Source organism: Homo sapiens, chromosome X (genome assembly GCF_000001405.40).
Source record: "Homo sapiens chromosome X, GRCh38.p14 Primary Assembly".
Classification (NCBI taxonomy): domain Eukaryota; kingdom Metazoa; phylum Chordata; class Mammalia; order Primates; family Hominidae; genus Homo; species Homo sapiens.
Window position 1 is genome coordinate 26970345 of NC_000023.11, and position 19611 is coordinate 26989955.

Consider the following 19611-nt stretch of genomic DNA (forward strand, 5'->3'; position numbering starts at 1 on the left):
TCAGGGAATGTCCCTCCTTTTCTCTCTCTGTCTGAAAATGTCTTCACTGTAGTTATTCTTGAATAGTATAAAGAGTAGTACTATATTGGCTCTTCCCAGATGTCGTGTGGAAATTTGCAACCAGGAACCATTTTTTTTGTGTGAATTTCTCAAACTAGGATTTATTAGTCTGGAGAAATAATAAAATTAAACTTACCACATGTGTGAGACAGACATATGCTTTTGATTTCTCAGATTTTTAAAAACCCCATCAAGAAGGAAGTCAGAGGCAGGTGAGCTTCCTTGTTTCCTTTTGCGGCTGAGTGTTTTTTTAAGTCTACTTTCTCTCCATATATTTGAGGATCCTGGATTGATGTACAGATAGATCTCGGTTTCAGCTACCTTACCTCCCTTGTGTATATGGCTAATAAAACCCCTTGGTAACTAAGATGGGTGAATCCTCATCATGTTTTTAAAAGGAAGTCAATTTAATTAAAGGCATCTCTAATGTCTAATACATGATATTTTTGAATTTATTGATAGATTTTGTATAAATCTCTATTTAATCTCATTTTGGTTTCATCAATATATCAACATCTACAGATTACAGTAGATGACCGTTAATATTATCTATGTCTTTTCATTTGAAGGTTATTATATGTATGATTTCCATTTTTATTGTTTTATAATCCTCTTAGACTTTTTGCTTAATTAAGCCAATATTTTTAAATATTTTTTTGTTCTGATCCTGGTCTTTTAGTTTTGTGTACTGCTAGTAACTTGGTAATATAAGCCAACATATAAATGATAATATTGATTACTAGTCATAATAACAGAGGAAATGGAATATTATATCTGAAGTGTCTGATTTATCTTTCATTCTCAATACTTTGAAGCTATGGCACATAATCTAAATGCAAATAGATGAAGTTTGTCTTACAATTATTCTACAAAGAGCACAACTACTTCAATTTAATGAGCATACTGACATGTGATATTACTGTTATCCCACAGTAACTTCTAAAATCTCTCAGAAAACTGTGTGAGAAAAAAAAAGTGAACTGCAAGAGGGGTTGTCATAAAAAATCCCTAATTGGGTACTATATAAAGTGAAGCTACTTCACATCTTTTCTTTCTCCTTTCACTTCCAGCCACAAATACAATGAGTTTCCAGTTTCTAAGAGGAGGAAGTGGCATAAAACTTTCTAACTACAGATCACGTTTATAAAGAGGTAAATGCAAGTTTTCTTCATGGTAAAGAGAAATAAATTCAAATTGCAATCCTAGTTACATTTTGAATGTAAAATTCAAAAGAATGGAAAGAAAATAATTTTTGTAAAAATTAATACTAATGTATGAAATATCGAAATGAAATTTCTCAGCCAAAAAATTAAGCTAATTTGTCCAATCTTTAAAACGCTTTATTTTCTACTGCATATATACTTTGTCTTTAAATTTTAAGTCTAAAGCTTTAGAAAATAAGCCCACTTCGAGGCTGACCCAGTTTTGTTGATAGTATGCTCAATATAAGATGGTTTGTCTCATGAAATCTAACCGCTCTCTATAGATAGATAGATAGATAGATCCATCCATCCATTCATACATACATAGACTATAAAAATCACTTCCATAATCCCAGCACTTTGGGAGGCTATGGTGGGAGGATGACTTGAGCTCAGGAGTTCAAGCCCCGCAGCCTGAGGAATACAGGGAAACTTTGTCTCTCCAAAAAAAAAAAAAAAAAAAAAAGCCACCGGTGTAGTCCCAGCTACTTTGGGAGACTGAAGTGGGAGGATCACTTGAGCCCAGGAGGTCGAGGCTGCAATGAACTGTGATCATGCCACCTCACCCTGGACTGAACAAGACTCTCTCAAAAAAAAAAAATCACCACAAACTGGAAAATTAGGCTGTGACTCTAATAAGGAAAAGTTCACATTTTCAAGGAGCTCAAGTTCAGTGTTACAGGTGAGAAAGTCGACTTCATTTGTATTTTTTACTATTAATCAAACAATTTGTAACTATATTATGTTAAATAAGATGAGAATTATAATGCTGTAAAATACGATTAAATTATATAGTAAATGTTACTAAATATTTTTGTACAGAAATAAATTCTCACAGTAGCTTCTACCTAGTATCTTAGTTCCTCCCTTTACAAGTCTGATTTGTTTTTCACTAGGATTTTTACCAGAAAATCCTTCTTACATTTGTAGATGTACAAAACCTTATAAATATTTTCTTCAAAATAAAAAATAAATCTTATTTTTTTCCTCTTTTGACATAATATAAAACATTCTCACAACTGTGATTGCTGTATTTTGAATTGGCTCTAGTTTGCCTAACTTCTCTTGAAACTGCTATATAAGGATCTGAATGCAGTGCTCTGGGTCTCAGCAGGTAAGACAGAGCAGGATTTTAATCATTGTAATTCTAGATGTTATATTTATAAGGAATTAAGTACTTCATATTAACTGTTTTTTGCCTTCATCTTGCCATTCATATATTGAGCTTAATAAGTCTAAAATTCTAATCCACTCTAAAAGTGTAATCTTTAAACCCCAAGCTCCTCTAATCTTTTATATGTATACTTCTGAAATAGCAGATTAATTAAATACACCAACTGTGGCTTTCTAAAAGTAAGCTAACTTTTCTGAACTTCACGATTGCATAATCAAGGAAAATGCACCCACCTAAAAGTGTGGTTAAAAAAGAAAAAATAGATAAGTTAATGTTCAGTGTTACTCCTAGCACAAATTAAATGCACAGATTAATGTAGTATTTTCAACTAAGTAGCTATGGGCATTGTAATTTGGGAGCACCTATACAAAGTCTTTAAATGCTTCCTATTGAACTTTTCCTTGTTACATCAGGCTCATCATTCAAGGCTATTGACCTCTTTTTGGATCCAGATTCTGTTATGCAGCAAATTTATTCTTTCCACTTTGGTATCATGTGTAATTTTGACAATCATGCCTTCCAGAACTTGATGGCAGTGATTGACAATATTAAGCAGGACAGGTCCTTTTTTTCTGTGTGCAATCAACCACATATAATTCTACCTAATTGAACTCATTTCCAGGGCATGTGTCTACAGCCTTTCATAGGAATATCATAGGAGAAAATTTCACATGTTTTGCTGGTGTCCAGATATATGCAGTTTCTTGCTTTCCTAGCCTAATGAACTGTCATAAAATAAAGGTGGTTTAAGCTTGACATATCTTGTTCTTGTGAAGTCTCTCTGACCACTCTCAGTAAAGGCTTCTTTTGGAAGTAAAATTTTCTTTACTTAAGTGTTACTTCCCTGGAGTAACCTACAAGGCGGCAGACCTTCACAATCTATCATGTTCTGCATGGCCTGATGATGTCAAAGGAACATGCTTTGTCATAAGGCTCCTCCATCCTAATATAATATGGAGGTCCATATCCACCTCAGTCCTATCTCTTTTTAATATACAAAACTATCCCTGATACACAAACATATTTTCAAAGACCATCAAGGTCAACGACAATTGCCATACATTCAATACATTCAGGGATAATTTTTCTGGATCAGGATACTTGAATTCATATTTTGGAGCATGGTAAATTGGGAGGCTCTGGCTCCTTCACGTCAATATTTGGGCAAAGGAAAAGATAGAGAATACAAAATCAATCTAAATATTAATTATGCCATTTTCCATTATCTGTTACCAACAGCATCCACAGAACTTCCTTTCTCATACCAATTATTGCTAGAAAGCAGTGCTGCTGAAGGAGAGTAATATGTAGATGGGGAAGCTTATTACTGGTACTTCACAGATTACATTAAGGATTATTTTTAACTTTTTATTCAACAGCATTCTACACATAAAAAAGATAAATGCAGTAGGTCAAATTCTTAGATGGTGCTAAAGGGTTCCCAGCCTCTAACATATGCACACCTCTTCCAGGTATTCACTCAAACACTAATCTAAGGTACTGCTGTAAAGAGATTTTGCAAATATAATTAAGATCTCAAGTCAGTTGACCTTAAGGTATGGTGATTATCTGGGTGGGCCTGACTTAGATCACATGAGCCCTTTGAAACCAGAGTTTTCTCCAGATAGTCATAGAAGAGGAAGTCAAAGAAATATGCTCCAGTTGGCCTGGAAACAAATATACATGTTGTAAACTGTTCTGGAGACCACATGGCAAAGAACTAAGGCGGCCTCTAGATACTAACAGCAGTTCATGACTTACAGCTAGCAGGTAACAGGACACCTCGGTCTTACAACCACAAGGAAATTAATCTCAGCAACTAGTGAGCTTGAAAGAGAACTCCAAGCCCCAGATGAGACCTACAGTCCCCAGACGACACCTACAGTCCCCAGATGACACCTTGTTGTCAGCCTGGTGAATCCCTTAGCACAGTATTCATCCATGCCAAGCCTGGAGTTATCCCTATAGAAACTGTGAGATGATAAATCTATATTGTGTTTATGGTAATGTGTTATGCAGCAATAGAAAAGCCCTCTAAGCCTGGGACACATAGCAAGACCCTGTCTCTACAAAAGAAAAAAAAAATTAGGCAGACATGGTGCATGCCTGCAGTCTCAGCTGCTACTCGGGAAGCTGAAGTGGAGGATCACTTGAGCCCACGAGTTTGAGGCTGCAATGAGCAATGATTGTGTCACTGCAATCCAGCCTCGGCAACAGAGCAAGATCCTTTCTCTAAAAATAAATAAGTATGTAAATAAAAAGAAAGCGAATATGCCTGTATCATAGGTATACAACTCAAAGAATTTTCACAAATTATAACCACTACCTGAACAAGAAATAGAACATCCCAGAAGTGTCCCTCATGCTCCCTTCCAGCCACTACCCCACTCACCATTCACCAATCCTCCACCTCTTTCCCCAGTAGTAGTAATTGCCCTGACTTTTAACTGTATAGATTAGTGCTGTTTAAGTATTTGATTTAAATGGGATCATGCATCATGTGCTTTTCTGGCTTTTGGTTATTTAACTCAATAATTTTTTTGAAGGTTTATTCATACTGTTGCATGGGGTTGTAGATACTTCATTTCGTTGCTGCATAATATTCCATTTTGTGAATAGACCACAATTTACTTATCTATTTGACTTGCTGGCCCTGTGGGTACTTTCCAGCATGGGGCTATTCCAGTGATGCATTGCAGCATATGTATTTTGGTAGCTATACATATCCATGATACGTATATGCATATGTGTAGTTTAGTTTTAAACTGAGAGAAGTCATCTACACTTGAAACCATTAAACTACGCACCATTCATAGGACAGAAGCACAACTATTCTGAAGTTATGGGAGTGTGGGCTCAACTCCTGTCTGCTTTGTAGTCTCTCAATCTGCCACAGGGCTGTCATCTTAACCCCAGGCCATGGCATGGCCTGCCAAATCCACCTCATTCACATGGCTGTGGCCACTCAGGGAGATGCAGGTTGAGAGAAATGAGCACATCCTTTCCTGGTTTGGGGCTTTGTCTGTGAAGTGCGTGGGAGGTGAGGCTGACCTCCAGAGATCTAAAGGCATCATTTTGGGATGCACCAAGCTCTTGAGGCCTGGGACCATGGCAGGCTAACAGCCGAAGGGCCTGCTGCAGAGTCAGGCTGACATGTGCTGTCTGGTGGTGGGAGTTCTTGTGTATTTGTTGGCTACTGGTGTCTGGCAGTTTAGAATCACTTTGCACAGAATTTTTGCTCTTTCTCAGGAAAAGAAAATGGGCTAGAAGAAGCCCAATCTTCAGTTCTTGTCTTGGTACCATTTAAAATCAACATTTCATTTGAAAAATAAATAAATAAACTGAGGGAAGGCCAATTATTAGTCATTCAAAAAATCTGTATAAAAACGTAATATTGTGAAGACTACAGTGTGTATTTTTAGTCAAAAGCCCCTGAATTTATGTTGTAGGCAGTTACATTCTAGGTGTGATCTTGACCATGTTACCTAATCTTTTGTACTGTCTCCACATTTGTAAAATACAGGATATTAAAAACCCCAATCTATGGCGCATCTGGAGGATTAGAATTTCCAGAGATTCTAATGTGCTTTTGGATATGGTAGTCAGTAGCCATAAGTGGTCACTGAAATTTAAATATAAATTACTTAAAATTAAATATAATTAAGAATTCAGTTCCTCAATCACAGAATTAAGAGTTCAGTTCCTCAATCACACTAGCCATATTTCAAGTGCTCAATAAATGCATATTATTGGACATCACTGTATGTACATAAAGTATTTAAACCATGCTGATATCTTAACTTGCTACTTAATAATTCATAGTGTCAATAGCAAAGACTTGGAACCAACCCAAATGTCCACCAATGATAGACTGGATAAAGAAAAAGTGGCACATATACACCATGGAACACAATGCAGCTATAAAAACGAATGAGATCGTGTCCTTTGCAGGGACATGGATGAAGCTGGAAGTCATCATTCTCAGCAAACCAACACAGGAACAGGAAATCAAACACCACATGTTCTCACTCATAAATGGGAGTTGAGCAATGAGAACACATGGACCCAGGGAGGGGAACATCATACACCAGGGCCCGTCAGTGGGCGGGGAACAAGGGGAGGGAGAGCATTAGGACAAATACCTAATGCAAGCGGGGCTTAAAACCTAGATGACGTGTTGATAGGTGCAGCAAACTACCATGGCGCATGTATACCTATGTAACAAACCTGCATATTCTGCACATGTATCCCAGAACTTAAAGTAAAATAAATAAATAAATATATCACTTTTTTTCACTTAGCAACATCACAATTTTGAGGCAACCATTCCTCAAATCATTCTGATATCCACAGAAGTTATCTCAATGATGCTTCTGAAAGTTTTTTTCAATACATCAAGATATCTTGTATTTTTCCTTGTGTTTACCTCTTTCTCTTTTTGGCGATGGAGATCATGAAATTCATGGCATGGGGAAAGGCCACTGCTATGGCTTCCTTTTTCTTCTCACCTTGCATGGGCTCCTTGCAATCTCGTCATGCCAGATTGCAATGGGCTGATGCTGCCCTTTGGACTCTGAAAAAAATTCCATCTATGCTCATCACTAAGCACCCCTCTGTTACAATATTTACAGAAGTGCCCAAGTGCCTTGTCAGTATCTCACAGAGACACCTGATCAGAACTCTTCAACTTCCCCTTTGCAAAATCCATTTCTCCCTGAAATTCAGGCACAGGATCTTCCAGCAAGACTTAAGGCTATATCTTGGGAATCACAGAGCTGTTCTCAAGATACCCTTTCTGTTAGAAATAAACATTTATTTCCTTTAAATCAGCAGTCCCCAACCCTTTTGGAATCAGGGACCGGTTTCATGGAAGACAATTTTTCCATTGTGGGGTGGGGATGGTTCCTGGGTGATTCAAGCACATTAAATTTATTCTGCACTTTATTTCTATTATTATTACATACTCATCATAATGTAGAATCAATGGGAGTCCTGAGCTTGTTTTCCTGCAACTACATGGTCCCATCTATATACAGTCCTATCTGGGGGTGATGGAAGACAGTGACAGATCATCAGGCATTAGATTCTCGTAAGAAGCATGCAACCTAGATAACTTGCATGCACAGTTCACAATAGGGTTCGCGCTCCTATAAGAATCTAATGCCACCGCTGATCTGACAGGAGGTAGAGCTCGGGCAGTAATGCTCTCGCTCACCTGCCACTCACCTCCTGCTGTGTGGCTGGGTTCCTAACAGGCCACAGACTAGTACTGGTCCATGACCCAGGGTTTGGGCACCCTGGCTTTAAATTATCTCTCTTCTTCTGTTTATTTATATTTCATTTTGTGGTTTTTCTCTTCAATAGCTATGGTAGTTGTTAGTATTATTATTAGCATTATTATTTTTTGTTAATGATACTTACTATGTAAAAATGCATGATAGGTGGTACGGGAGTTGAAAAAGTCATGGCCTTTGCTCATTCAGAACTTATAGAAAGGAAGAGAATATCTAGCCTCAATTAATTAAAATCTAATGTAAATAATTATATGGCTGGCAGTAAACATGTTTATATTCATTTTCATTATAAGTTTCAAGTATGGAAATGATAGAAATGAGAATAATAATTTTAAATAAGTTGCGATAGAAAAAATCACAATGGGGTATTTTGCCTTGATGTTTCTTTTTTTCTCTTTAATAATATCCATCTGTACAGGCGAGGAAGCAACTGTACATGTGGTGTGATTTTAAGGAAAACTAAATATCTCATTCAAATTAACGTATTTTTCTCTTGAGCTACCTGAGACTCTCAATTTCATACTGAGGCCATTAACATCTATAAAGCCTTTATTAAAAAATAAAAATGTCCTTTGGGAGTTGTCAAGGGAGAGAGTTGTTTGATGACCCTTTAATATCTCATGAACTCCAATACAGGGGGGTTTCTCAGAAGGTGTAACAAAGGAATTGAGGTACGGGAAAGGGAGGGAGGAAGTTTGAGAGAGGTACGCAGCACTGGATGTTCATGCCTAGAAGGTGGGCTGGGACTTCCCAAGGGCCCAAAGTGAAAGGAGAGTTGAAGAGATAAAATGAAGAAAGAGAAACACAGCTGGACATGGTTAAAATTTCAGGCTATTGTTTCTGAAAATCCGTTTTCCTTCATCTACGCTCTTGTTGTGATCTGCTCCAGCCATATTTCATATACTTGCAATTAGGCATTCCTAATTAAATGCCTCTGATATCCCAGATGGCTTTGAGAACAAGACCACATGGGAAGTATTTTTTTTAAAGAGCATGAGGTATATTGAACTTCCCAAATGACTTTCAGGAATATTTTGCTATAAATGTGTCATTTGAAAGCTGGAAAACAATGTGAAACTACATGACTTATATTTATAGCGGCCTGAATTCAATCATTGTACAATGTATATACATATAAGAAACATCACAATTTACAACTTAAATATATATAATTTTAACTTGTCAACAATACCTCAGTAAAGCAAGGGGAAAAGGATTATAAGATGGTACCAATAAACAGATTGTGAGGGAAGAAAAGACATGTTAACATATCAGCGATTACTCAAGAAAGGCTTTACTGAGCTGTTCTTATTGAAATGAAATAAGTGAAGAATTTTATAGGTTAAAGCAGATCTTAGAGCAGTTTATAATAGCTGTGAAGCTAGAGCAAAGACATCCTTGAAATATATCTCTTGGGATGTAACAAATGCTGCAGCAACATTCCTCAAGCAATCCGTCACATACACAGAGAAGATGAAATATATACACATACCTTATATCACATAGTATAACCTTTTTGGTTCTTTTCACTTACAACAAGAAGATATTTTTATATTCTAAATGTGGTACATATGCACATACAATGTGTGAAATGTTTGGCATCACACACAGCCACATTCACATTTGTTGTATTATTATTTACTACTACTATATATATAGTGTAATATACATAGGCCAGTGACTGTGAAAGCTTAATTCCTGACCAGAAGCATCAGAATTACCTGAGAACTTATCATAAATGCAGTCTCAGTACCACCACCACCATCACCATCTCCCGGGTCTGCTTATCAGAAACTCCAAGGAAGAGATAGAGAAATGGTGTTACCCTCTAGGTGATTCTGATGCATGGCACTGATGTAGACAATGATACGATACTACTGAAAGCAGTATTTCATCATTGTAAAAGGAGGGAGAGTATCTGATTGAAATCAATAAATACATTCTCAATTGTTCTTTTAACATGAAGCAAACATGTATAGGAGGCGCCTCATCTCCCTCATGTCTACCTATTAAGCATCTTCCACTATACTTTTGTGCAAAAAGTCATTTAAGACTTCACCAACATAAGCAGATTTTACTTTGTAAGTTGGCTTCATTTCAAAACATTAAAAATAGAATTACCATGTGACCCAGCAATCTCAATTCTGGGTATATACCCCAAACAATTGTAGTCAGGGACTCAAATTGTTATCTTCACAGCTGTGTTCATAGTAGCATTATTCACAATAGCCAAAAGGGAAAACAGCCCAATTGTCCATCAATCAATGATTGGATAAACAAAATGTGGTATATCTACACAGTAGAATATTACTCTACCTTAAAAAAGGAAGGAAATTCTGACACATGCTACAACATGTATGAACACTGAGGACAGTATGCTGAGTGCAATAAGCCAGTCACAAAAAGACAAATACAGTATGATTCCACTTATATGAGGTATCTAGAGTAGTCAAATACAAAGAGACAGAAAAATGGTGGTTGTCAGGGGCTGGGGAAGTGGGAATTGGGAGCTATAGTTTAATGGGTACGGAGCTTCAGTTTCCAAGACGAAAAGGATCCTGGCTATGAATGGTTATGTTGATTGCACAACGTTAATGTTCTTAACGTCACTGGAATATACACTTAAAATTTTAAGATTGTAAATTAGTATGGAAGTTTCTCAAAGAATTAAAAATAGAGCTATTATTTGATCCAGCAATTCTACTACTGGGTGCCTACTGAAAGGAAAATAAATAATTACATCAAAAAGACACCTACATTTGTATGTTTATTGCAGCATTATTCACAATAGCAAAGATATGGAATCAACCAGATTGTCCATCAGTGGATGAATAAAGAACATATGGTATATATATATATATATATATATATACACACACACACACACACACACACACACACACAATGGAATACTATACAGCCATTAAAAAGAATGGAATTTGGGAGGCTGAGGCAGGAGAATTGCTTGAACCTGGGAGGTGGAGGTTGCAGTGAGCTGAGATTGCACCACTGCACTCCAGCCTGGGTGACAGAGCAAGACTCTATCTCTCCAAAAAAAAAAAAAAAAAAAAGGAATCATGTCTTTTGCAGCAACATGTATGGAACTGGAGGCCATTATCTTAAGTGAAACAAATCAGACACAAAAAGACAAATAGTACATGTTCTCACTTATAAGTGGGAGCTAAATAATATGTACACATGGTTGTAGACTGTGGAATGATGGTAGAGATTCAGAAGAGTTGGGGGGGCTGGACAAGGAATAGAGAAGAATTACTTAATGGATATAATGTGCATTATTCTGGTGATGGATACACTAAAAGCCCTGACTTCACCTGTAAACAATCTATCCATGTAACAAAATTACACTTGTACCCTATAAATTATACAAAAATTGGTAAGTTTTGTCATATGATTTTGCCACAATAAAAAATAAAAATAAATTTAAAAACAAATAAAATTTGTTTCTATTGCATGCCTTGCATCTGCGCTCCATTTTTTGATATTAACCCCTGCTTACTCATCTTATCCAAATCACTCTTTTCCCTGTTGGGATTGATCTCATGTAGGAAGCTATGAGGTATGAAAAAGTTTGCAGGCCGGGTGAGGTGACTCACGCCTGTAATCCCAGCACTTTGGGAGGCCGAGGCGGGTGGATCGTCTGAGGTCAGGAGTTTGAGATCAGCCTGGCCAAAATAGTGAAATCCATCTCTACTAAAAATACAAAAAATTAGCTGGGCATGGTGGTGGGCGCCTGTAATCCCAGCCACTCGGGAGGCTGAGGCAGGAGAATCATTTGAACCCAGGAGGCAGAGGTTGCAGTGAGCCAAGATCGTGCCATTGCACTCCAGCCTGGGCAACAAGAGCGAAACTCCATCTCAAAAACAACAACAACAACAACAACAACAACAAAATTATTTGTGGAAAAGTTAATCAAAAGTAGTAAATTTTAGTAGTAGTTATCAAGTGCTTACTGTGCTTACCAGACACTGTTTGAAATGCTTTAAATATTTTAACTCAATTGAACCTTACAACAACCCTTTAAGGGTGGAGATAATATTATCTCAGTTGTCTAGGTAAGAAAACTGAAGCATGCAAAAACACGCTGAAGTCATCCAGAAGCAGAGCTGAGATTTGAACCCAAAGACTCTGCAGTTTTGCTCTTAATTTCTCATTCTTAAACACCACCTTATGCTATTTATTGAGAAAATGTAATAAATAAGAATGACTAACTGGATTTAATCATAAAGTAACTTTTATTTGTTTCCCAGTATTTCTCTAAATTTATTGAGTAGGGCTGGTTCTTCACCAGGTCCAGGATGAAAATTCAAAGTGAACCCCATTGCTTTTGTAGTCATAAGAAGGTAAAAAATTAAAAGTGTGGCTTTTAATTTCAAAACACAGTATCACTTCAGCAATTAAGACACCAATCCCAAAAAATGATTTTTAAAAAGTCTCATTTTTGCTCTACAGTGCAGTTTTCTCAGCTGCCTAAGCTTGGGCCCACTTCAGATGGAAGTCAACTTCTTTATTATCACCTAGACTTTTACCTCACCAATCATCATGTGTGATTACAACATAGTTGAATATAGGGAAAAGAGAGAGGAAGAATGAGCAGGAAAGTTCTTATTTGCTTAGTGATGGCATAGTGATCTAGATCCAGGACACTTTGGATCTGATATTTAGTTAAATCTGACTTTTTCCATGGCAACTATGATAAACTGATTGCAAAAATGCACCAAATCTTCAATCCTGCCTTGTCCATAACCCTTGCCCTGTAACTTGAAAATGCCCCTCCACTCTGACTTTGGGGTTAGCTGAATGACTTGTTTGAGCCAAAGGAATGTGAACAACTATAATGTATGTGGAGGGGTTTTTTTGTTGTGGTTTTTTTTGAGATGGAGTCTCACTCTGTTGCCAGGCTGGAGTGCAGTGGCACGATCTCGGCTCACTGCAACCTCCGCTTCCCAGGTTCGAGCGATTCTTCTGTCTCAGTCTCCCAAGTAGCTGGGACTGCAGGCCCCCACCACCACCCCTGACTAATTTTTGTATTCTTAGTAGAGACGGGGTTTCACCATATTGGCCAGGCTGGTCTAGAACTCCTGACCTCGTGATCCGCCCACCTCGGCATGCTAAAGTGCTGGGATTACAGGCGTGAGCCACTCTCGCCTGGCCTGTAAGTGGAGGTTTAAAGATGCTGTGTGAATGGGCTTGTCCCCACTTTTGCACCTCTGCCATTACGAGAACATTCTTGTGCTAGCTTGCTAGAAAATGAGGGGCATCTGCCATCTCAGTTATTTCAGCTAAAAGCATCCTAGACAAAGTTGAGAGTCAACCAATTCTTAAATCCGTATATGAGCCAAACCAAGATGAGTACAGACATCTGGCTGACAAACCTAGATACATGAACTATAAAATTATTATTGTATGTGAATAAGCTCTTGATTATTTTTAATGCAATATCATTGTGAAAATAGATAACTGATACAGGCACTCTCCTGACTCCTCTAATCGTAGGAAAGTTGCTCATATATAAGGATAATTACAGTTTTTTTTTTTTTTGAAACAGAGTCTAGCTCTGTCACCGAGGCTGGAGTGGAGTGGCATGATCTCAACTCACTACCACCTCCACCTCCCGGGTTCTCATGCCTCAGCCTCCTGAGTAGCTGGGATTACAAGAGTGTGCCACCATGCCCAGCCTTTTTTTGTTTGTTTTGTATTTTTAGTAGAGACGGGGTTCAACATGTTGGCCAGGCTGGTCTTGAACTCCTGGCCTCAAGTGATCCACTTGCCTTGGCCTCCCAAAGTGCTGGGTTTACAGGCCTGAGTCACTGCGCCCGGCTGAAAATTACAGGCATTTCTATGTCGATGAGTTGTCCTTTTATTCTCCAGTCCCTAGACATCAAGAAAAACTTCCAAGTAATTTATTCTGTGACTTAACTAACATTTCCAGAGATTTCACTGAAAAAAGTCTAAGAAAACCATATTTTACTTTGTCTTGTTCATGGATCATATTTGGGGTATAGGAAACAGTAACATAATTTTTACCCAAAGGAACACTTGGAGTGCAATTCAATTGCTATATGGACAAGAAAATTCTTGATGTTTGAATTAAATATAAGTTCTCAGTTTATCCACAGGCAAAACAATAAAACTAGATCCCTATCTCTCATCATATATAAAAATCAACTCACAATGTATTTAAGACTTAAATGTAAGACCCAAAGCTATGAAAGTGCTAGAAAAAAACATGGGGGAAATGCTACATACCATCTGTCTGGGCAAGGATTTCTAGATAAGACCTCAAAAGCATTGCCCAAATAAATAAATGGGATTATACCAAACTAAAAAGTTTCTGCAGAGCAAAGGAGACAATCAACAGAGTGAAGAGACAACCTACAGAATGGGAGAAAATATTTGCAAATTATAGATCAGACAAGGGGTTAACATCTAGAATATATAAGGAACTCAAACAATCCCATAGCAAAACATAAAAATCTTATTTTTTAAATGGCAAAATATCTGAGCAGACATTTCTCCAAAAAAGAAATTTTTTTTTGGTACTCCATGCAAATTACCAACGGATATATGAAAAAATGCTGAACATCACTGATCATAGATAAATGTAAATTAAAAGCACAATGAGGTATCACCTCACCCCAGTTAGAATGGCTATGTTCAAAAAAATTAAAACCAAGAAGTGCTGGCAAGCATGCGGAGAAAGGAAAACTCTAATACACTGTTGGTGGGAATATAAATTAGTACAGCCACTAGTAAAAACAATATGGAAGTTCCTCAAAATGTTAAAAATAGACCGGGCATGGTGGCTCAAGCCTGTAATCCCAGCACTTTGGGAGTCTGAGGCAGGAGGATCACTTGAGGCCAGGAGTTTGAGACCAGCCTGGGTAACATAACAAGACTCTGTCTCTGCCAGAAAAAAAAAAAAAGTAAAAATTAGCTGGGCATTGTGGCACGCACCTGTATTAGCTACTTGGGAGGCTGAGGTGGGAGGATCATTCAAACCCAGGAGTTCGAGGCTGCAGTGAGCTACCGTTGTGCCACTGCACTCCAGCCTGGACAACAGAATGAGACCCTGTTTCTTAAAAACAAAAACAAAAACAAACTGATAAATAAATCTACCATATAACTCAGCAATTCTACGACTCGGTATATATCCAAAGTAAATGAAATTAGTGTGTTGAAGAGACATCTGCATTCCCGTTTATTGCAGCACTAATTCGCAATAGCCAAGATATGGAATCAAAAGTATCCATCAATGAATGAATGGATAAAGAAAATGTGGCAGCCAGTTTCAGTGGCTCACACCTGTAATCCCAGAACTCTCGGAGGCCAAAATAAAGGGATTGCTTGAAGCCAAGAGTTCAAAACCAGCTTGGGCAACAAAATATGACTATGATTCTGTTTAAAAAAAAGAAAAAAACAACATGAAAATGTGGCATATATGCACAATTAAATACTATTCAGTCATTAAAAAGGATGAAATCCTGTCATCTGTGACAACATAGATGAGACAGAAGGATATTAAGTGGAACAAGTCAGGCACAGAAAGACAAATTCTGCATGATCTCACTCCTATGGGGAATCTAAAATAATTAAACTCATAGAAGTTGAGAGCAGGATATTGGTTGTCAAAAACTGGGGAAAATAGGAAGGAAGGGGAGATAAGGATAGGTTGATTAATGGGTACAATGTTACAGTTAGACAGGAGGAATAAGTTCTGGTACTCAATTGCACTATTTAGTGACTATTGCTAAAAATACTACATCATATATTTCAGATAGATAGAAGAGAGGATTTGGGATGTTCTCACAGCAAAGTAAAGATAAATGTTTAAGGTGATGGATATGCTAATTATGACTTGAGCATTACACAATATATACATGTATCAGAACATCATATTATACCCCATAATTACGTACAAATTTTTTTTTGTTTGAAACGGAGTTTCGCTCTCGTTGCTCAGGCTGGAGTGCAATGGTGTGATCTCGGCTCACCACAACCTCTGCCTCCTGGGTTCAAGCAATTCTCCTGCCTCAGCCTCCTGAGTAGCTGGGATTACAGGCATGCGCCACCACGCCCAGCTAATTTTGTATTTTTAGTAGAGACGGGGTTTCTCCATGTTGGTCAGGCTGGTCTCGAACTCCCGACCTCAGGTAATCTTCCAGCCTCGGCTCCCAAAGTGCTGGAATTACAGGCATGAGCCACCGCGCCCGGCCTACAATTATTATATGTCAATAAAATAAATGTCATGGAAAGAAGTGGGCTGACAACGGGAATGTATCAGCTACCAAATAAAACAAACAAAAAAACAGTTCCTGGTGTCCATATTTAAAGAGACACAGATTAAACTCATTGTGGCATCTAATTAAAACCTCTTTGTTTTGATGTGGGATGTGGAAGTAATACTACACTCTTCTCCTTTGAAAGGAAGGAACTCATGACACTATTCCCTCCGAATAAACTTGCTAAAAATATTGTCAGGTAAAACCCTGTGAGGCTACTATGACTCTACTTGAAGTTAGGAGGTGTCATTCTGTCCTTCTCACTTTGCAAGCAAATGGGTCCTCAAAACGCAGTTGTCAGAGAAGAAAATGTTCTTCCCAATCTTTCAAAAATCAAACTCACCAATTCATATTCCTGATAGGCTTAAGAAGACTAAAACTATTCTATTTCTGTATTACATTGAACATTTTCATATTTTGGTCTAATGCATTATTTTATAATGTGTTTCAATTAACACTCCTATTTTGACAACTGATTACACTGTGTTTAATGAACAGATACAATATTCCAGACTCTGGGAGGTAAGTGTAAATCTTGCTTTTTTCCCAGTAAAAACCACTGGGTCAATAAAAATGACATTCACCTCAATCATTGCCGCTGAAATCCTTCTCAATATCTTCTCCTCATTATGAACCTCCTAGATAAAAAAAATGCTTACATTATATAAACTTCTTCCTCATCATCTTCCTTGTCCAGACTCCACAGACACAAACACCCCCCCACACACACACACCCCGTATACAACTTATACACACGTATACATGCACATTCATGCTCAAAGAAGATGCAGTAACAAAGAATGCAAAAGAAATCAGACTTCCGTGCACACCATTTCCTTTACACATATTGTCTGGTTTCATTTTGACTGTTTAGTTGATCACCACTCAATAGCTGGACTTTGATGGTTCATATACAGCATCATCGTCCAATTTTATCAAGGCCTGAAATTAACCTGCAATTTGGATGAGGCTGAGTATAGAGAAAAATACCTGAGTTCAGCCACAGAGGTAATATCCACTTAGGAGAAAACCAAAATTTCCAATGAATAAATGAAAAAGAATGTACAGTTGGCATCAGGTGCCCAAGATAAAAATAAAATAAACAAAACACAAAATAAGGAAGCTTCAGCAAATAATCTTAGTACAGTTGTAAGAGGTAAAGAGCAAAGTGATATTCAGGGAACATGAGCAGCATCATGAAAGGCTAACAGCCGTGATATAAAGTCCTCCTAATTAGGTTTATGGTTAGAGTAGGGAAAGAAATTGCTAGAATCAAATGAAGTCCCAGTCTTATAGGGACCAGAATATTTGATAGCTTGTTAAGAGGATGACAATGAATTAATCAGTTACTGTTTATTGAGTGCTTACTACATTTGAGCCCTGAACTTGATAGTTGAAGTTAACTTAATGATTGTGAAACAGGGTTATTAAATCTATCATGGAAAGTAGGAAACCAAAGTTTACATAAGTTAAGGTCCTAGGTCATACAGGGAAGTATTAAAATTAGACCCACACTCCTCTTCCATAATGAAGAGTTGATTACTGAGAAGTGACTATCTGACCATAGGCTACATTTCCCAGTATTCCCTATATCTAACTCAGTACATGTGACTAGTTCTCACTAATGGCATGTGAGTTGAAGTGCTTTGTGTCTCTTCTAGGACAAAGCATTTAAGAAATAAATGTGCCTTCTCCATTCTTTCTTTTTTCGTGTGCTGGCTGTAAGTAAATATCCCCAAGGTCCTAGCCTGTGGTGGAGACGTGAGATTAAAAAAATATGACCTCATCCATCACCAGGTCAAAAGCTACCCTTCAATATTCATATTTGATTGTTGTATGAGAAAGAAAGAAACATTTATTGTATTAATCATTCAGATTTGGCCTTAACAGTTGTGGCATCTATCTTTACATACACTAATTCAGTCTTAGTAACTATGAAACACCACCTTTCTAAAGAAACTACAATGTGTTGAGTGAGTACCTACTTTGAAGGGTTGTTGTGAGAACTTGGTTAATATATTTGTACAAAATTCTTAGCATAGTGTAAACATGTAGGCAGTATCACATATGTTCGGAATAACACTGATGATAATTTTGTAGTTTCATTTTAAATGCATTTTCTCATTTTAAACTGAAAATGGAATTAACTGGATTCAATAAATTTGAAAAATGAATATCAGAAGAATCAAATAACTTGTTTGTGACAGAGTTGGAAAAAATCCAGGTCCTTAGGTTAAAATGCTGTGCTCTTTTTCCACAACATTGTAACACTTTCTGGGTAAGAAAATAGAAAGCAAACACTTCTAAATTTGTTAACAAGTATGGAGTTTGAAAGGTATGGCTGAAGCCTTGAGAAAAATTTAGAAGCTCATTTATTCTAGTTGGGGTACAAGATCAAGAATAAGTCAAAAGCAAAGGTTTTTGATAAATTACTTAAATTTCTCTAACACCAAGTAAGGATTAGGTCTGACTTGCCAGTAGAAGTAAAAAACTACAGCTTTATAAATATTGAGACTCTTGAGGAAGAATCTTCTAAAATTTTTGGGCATATTCTTACTTCACTTATGGAGTTGAAAACAGCTTCAGAATAAGAAACCACTTTACTTTTCAAGAATGCACCCAATTCAAAATCCCCAATAAACATGTTTTTAACAGATTGTCTTTATTTTGTTTAAATAAAAATTACCTAAGTAAGATTGGGATTGATTCTAGACCACCATTATCCAATAAATCTTTCTGCAATGATAAAAATATATCCACATGATTAAATATGCTAGCCACCAGCCACATATGGTAAGCATCTAAAATGTGGTTAGTGTACCTGAGGAAATGAATTTTTAATTTTCTTTAACTTAAATTTAAAGTTATATAACCATGTGTAAACAGTGGCTACCATATTGGGCAATGTAACTCTAGATCTATAAGTTTTATTCTAGTGAAGAAACTGGATTTTTAATGTAAAAATGTGTGTGGATTAGAAAGATGCTTGAAATTTAGGGCAAAATGGTAACTATATGACCACATTAAAAGAAATACAGGATTTGCAAAACGGAAGTGATGTTTACACAAATGTAGACTAATTCAGTCCAAATGTACAAATCCATGTCCGTGGTGTGATTACTAGAAGCCTAGGCTGATGGTAATTTGCAAGGACATAATGCATAGCTGTGTAAACAGATCTTACATCCTAAGTCCTCAATCAAGTATTCAGCTTATTGTTGACCTTCCAAAGCCTCCATCTATGCCTTTATCCACCAGTTAATAATGAATTTGCCTTCTTCTTCAACAGAAAAATAGAGGTCATAAGATGTGAATTTCTTCAGTTTTCCTTCCTACTCTCTTGTCTATCTTTGTTTTAATATGCCCCTCTTTTTTTTTTTTTTTCAGAGAAAAAGGAATTGCTACTTAATGCCAATCATATATCTCCTTCAATTTCTCTTCCGTCCACTAACTTTTGCTTTCTGGTTTTTTTGTTTTTGTTTGTGTGTGTGTGTGTGTGTGTGTTGTTTTTGTTGTTTTTTGAGATGGAGTCTCGCTCTGTCACCAGGCTGGAGTGGAGTGCAGTGGTGCCATCTTGGCTC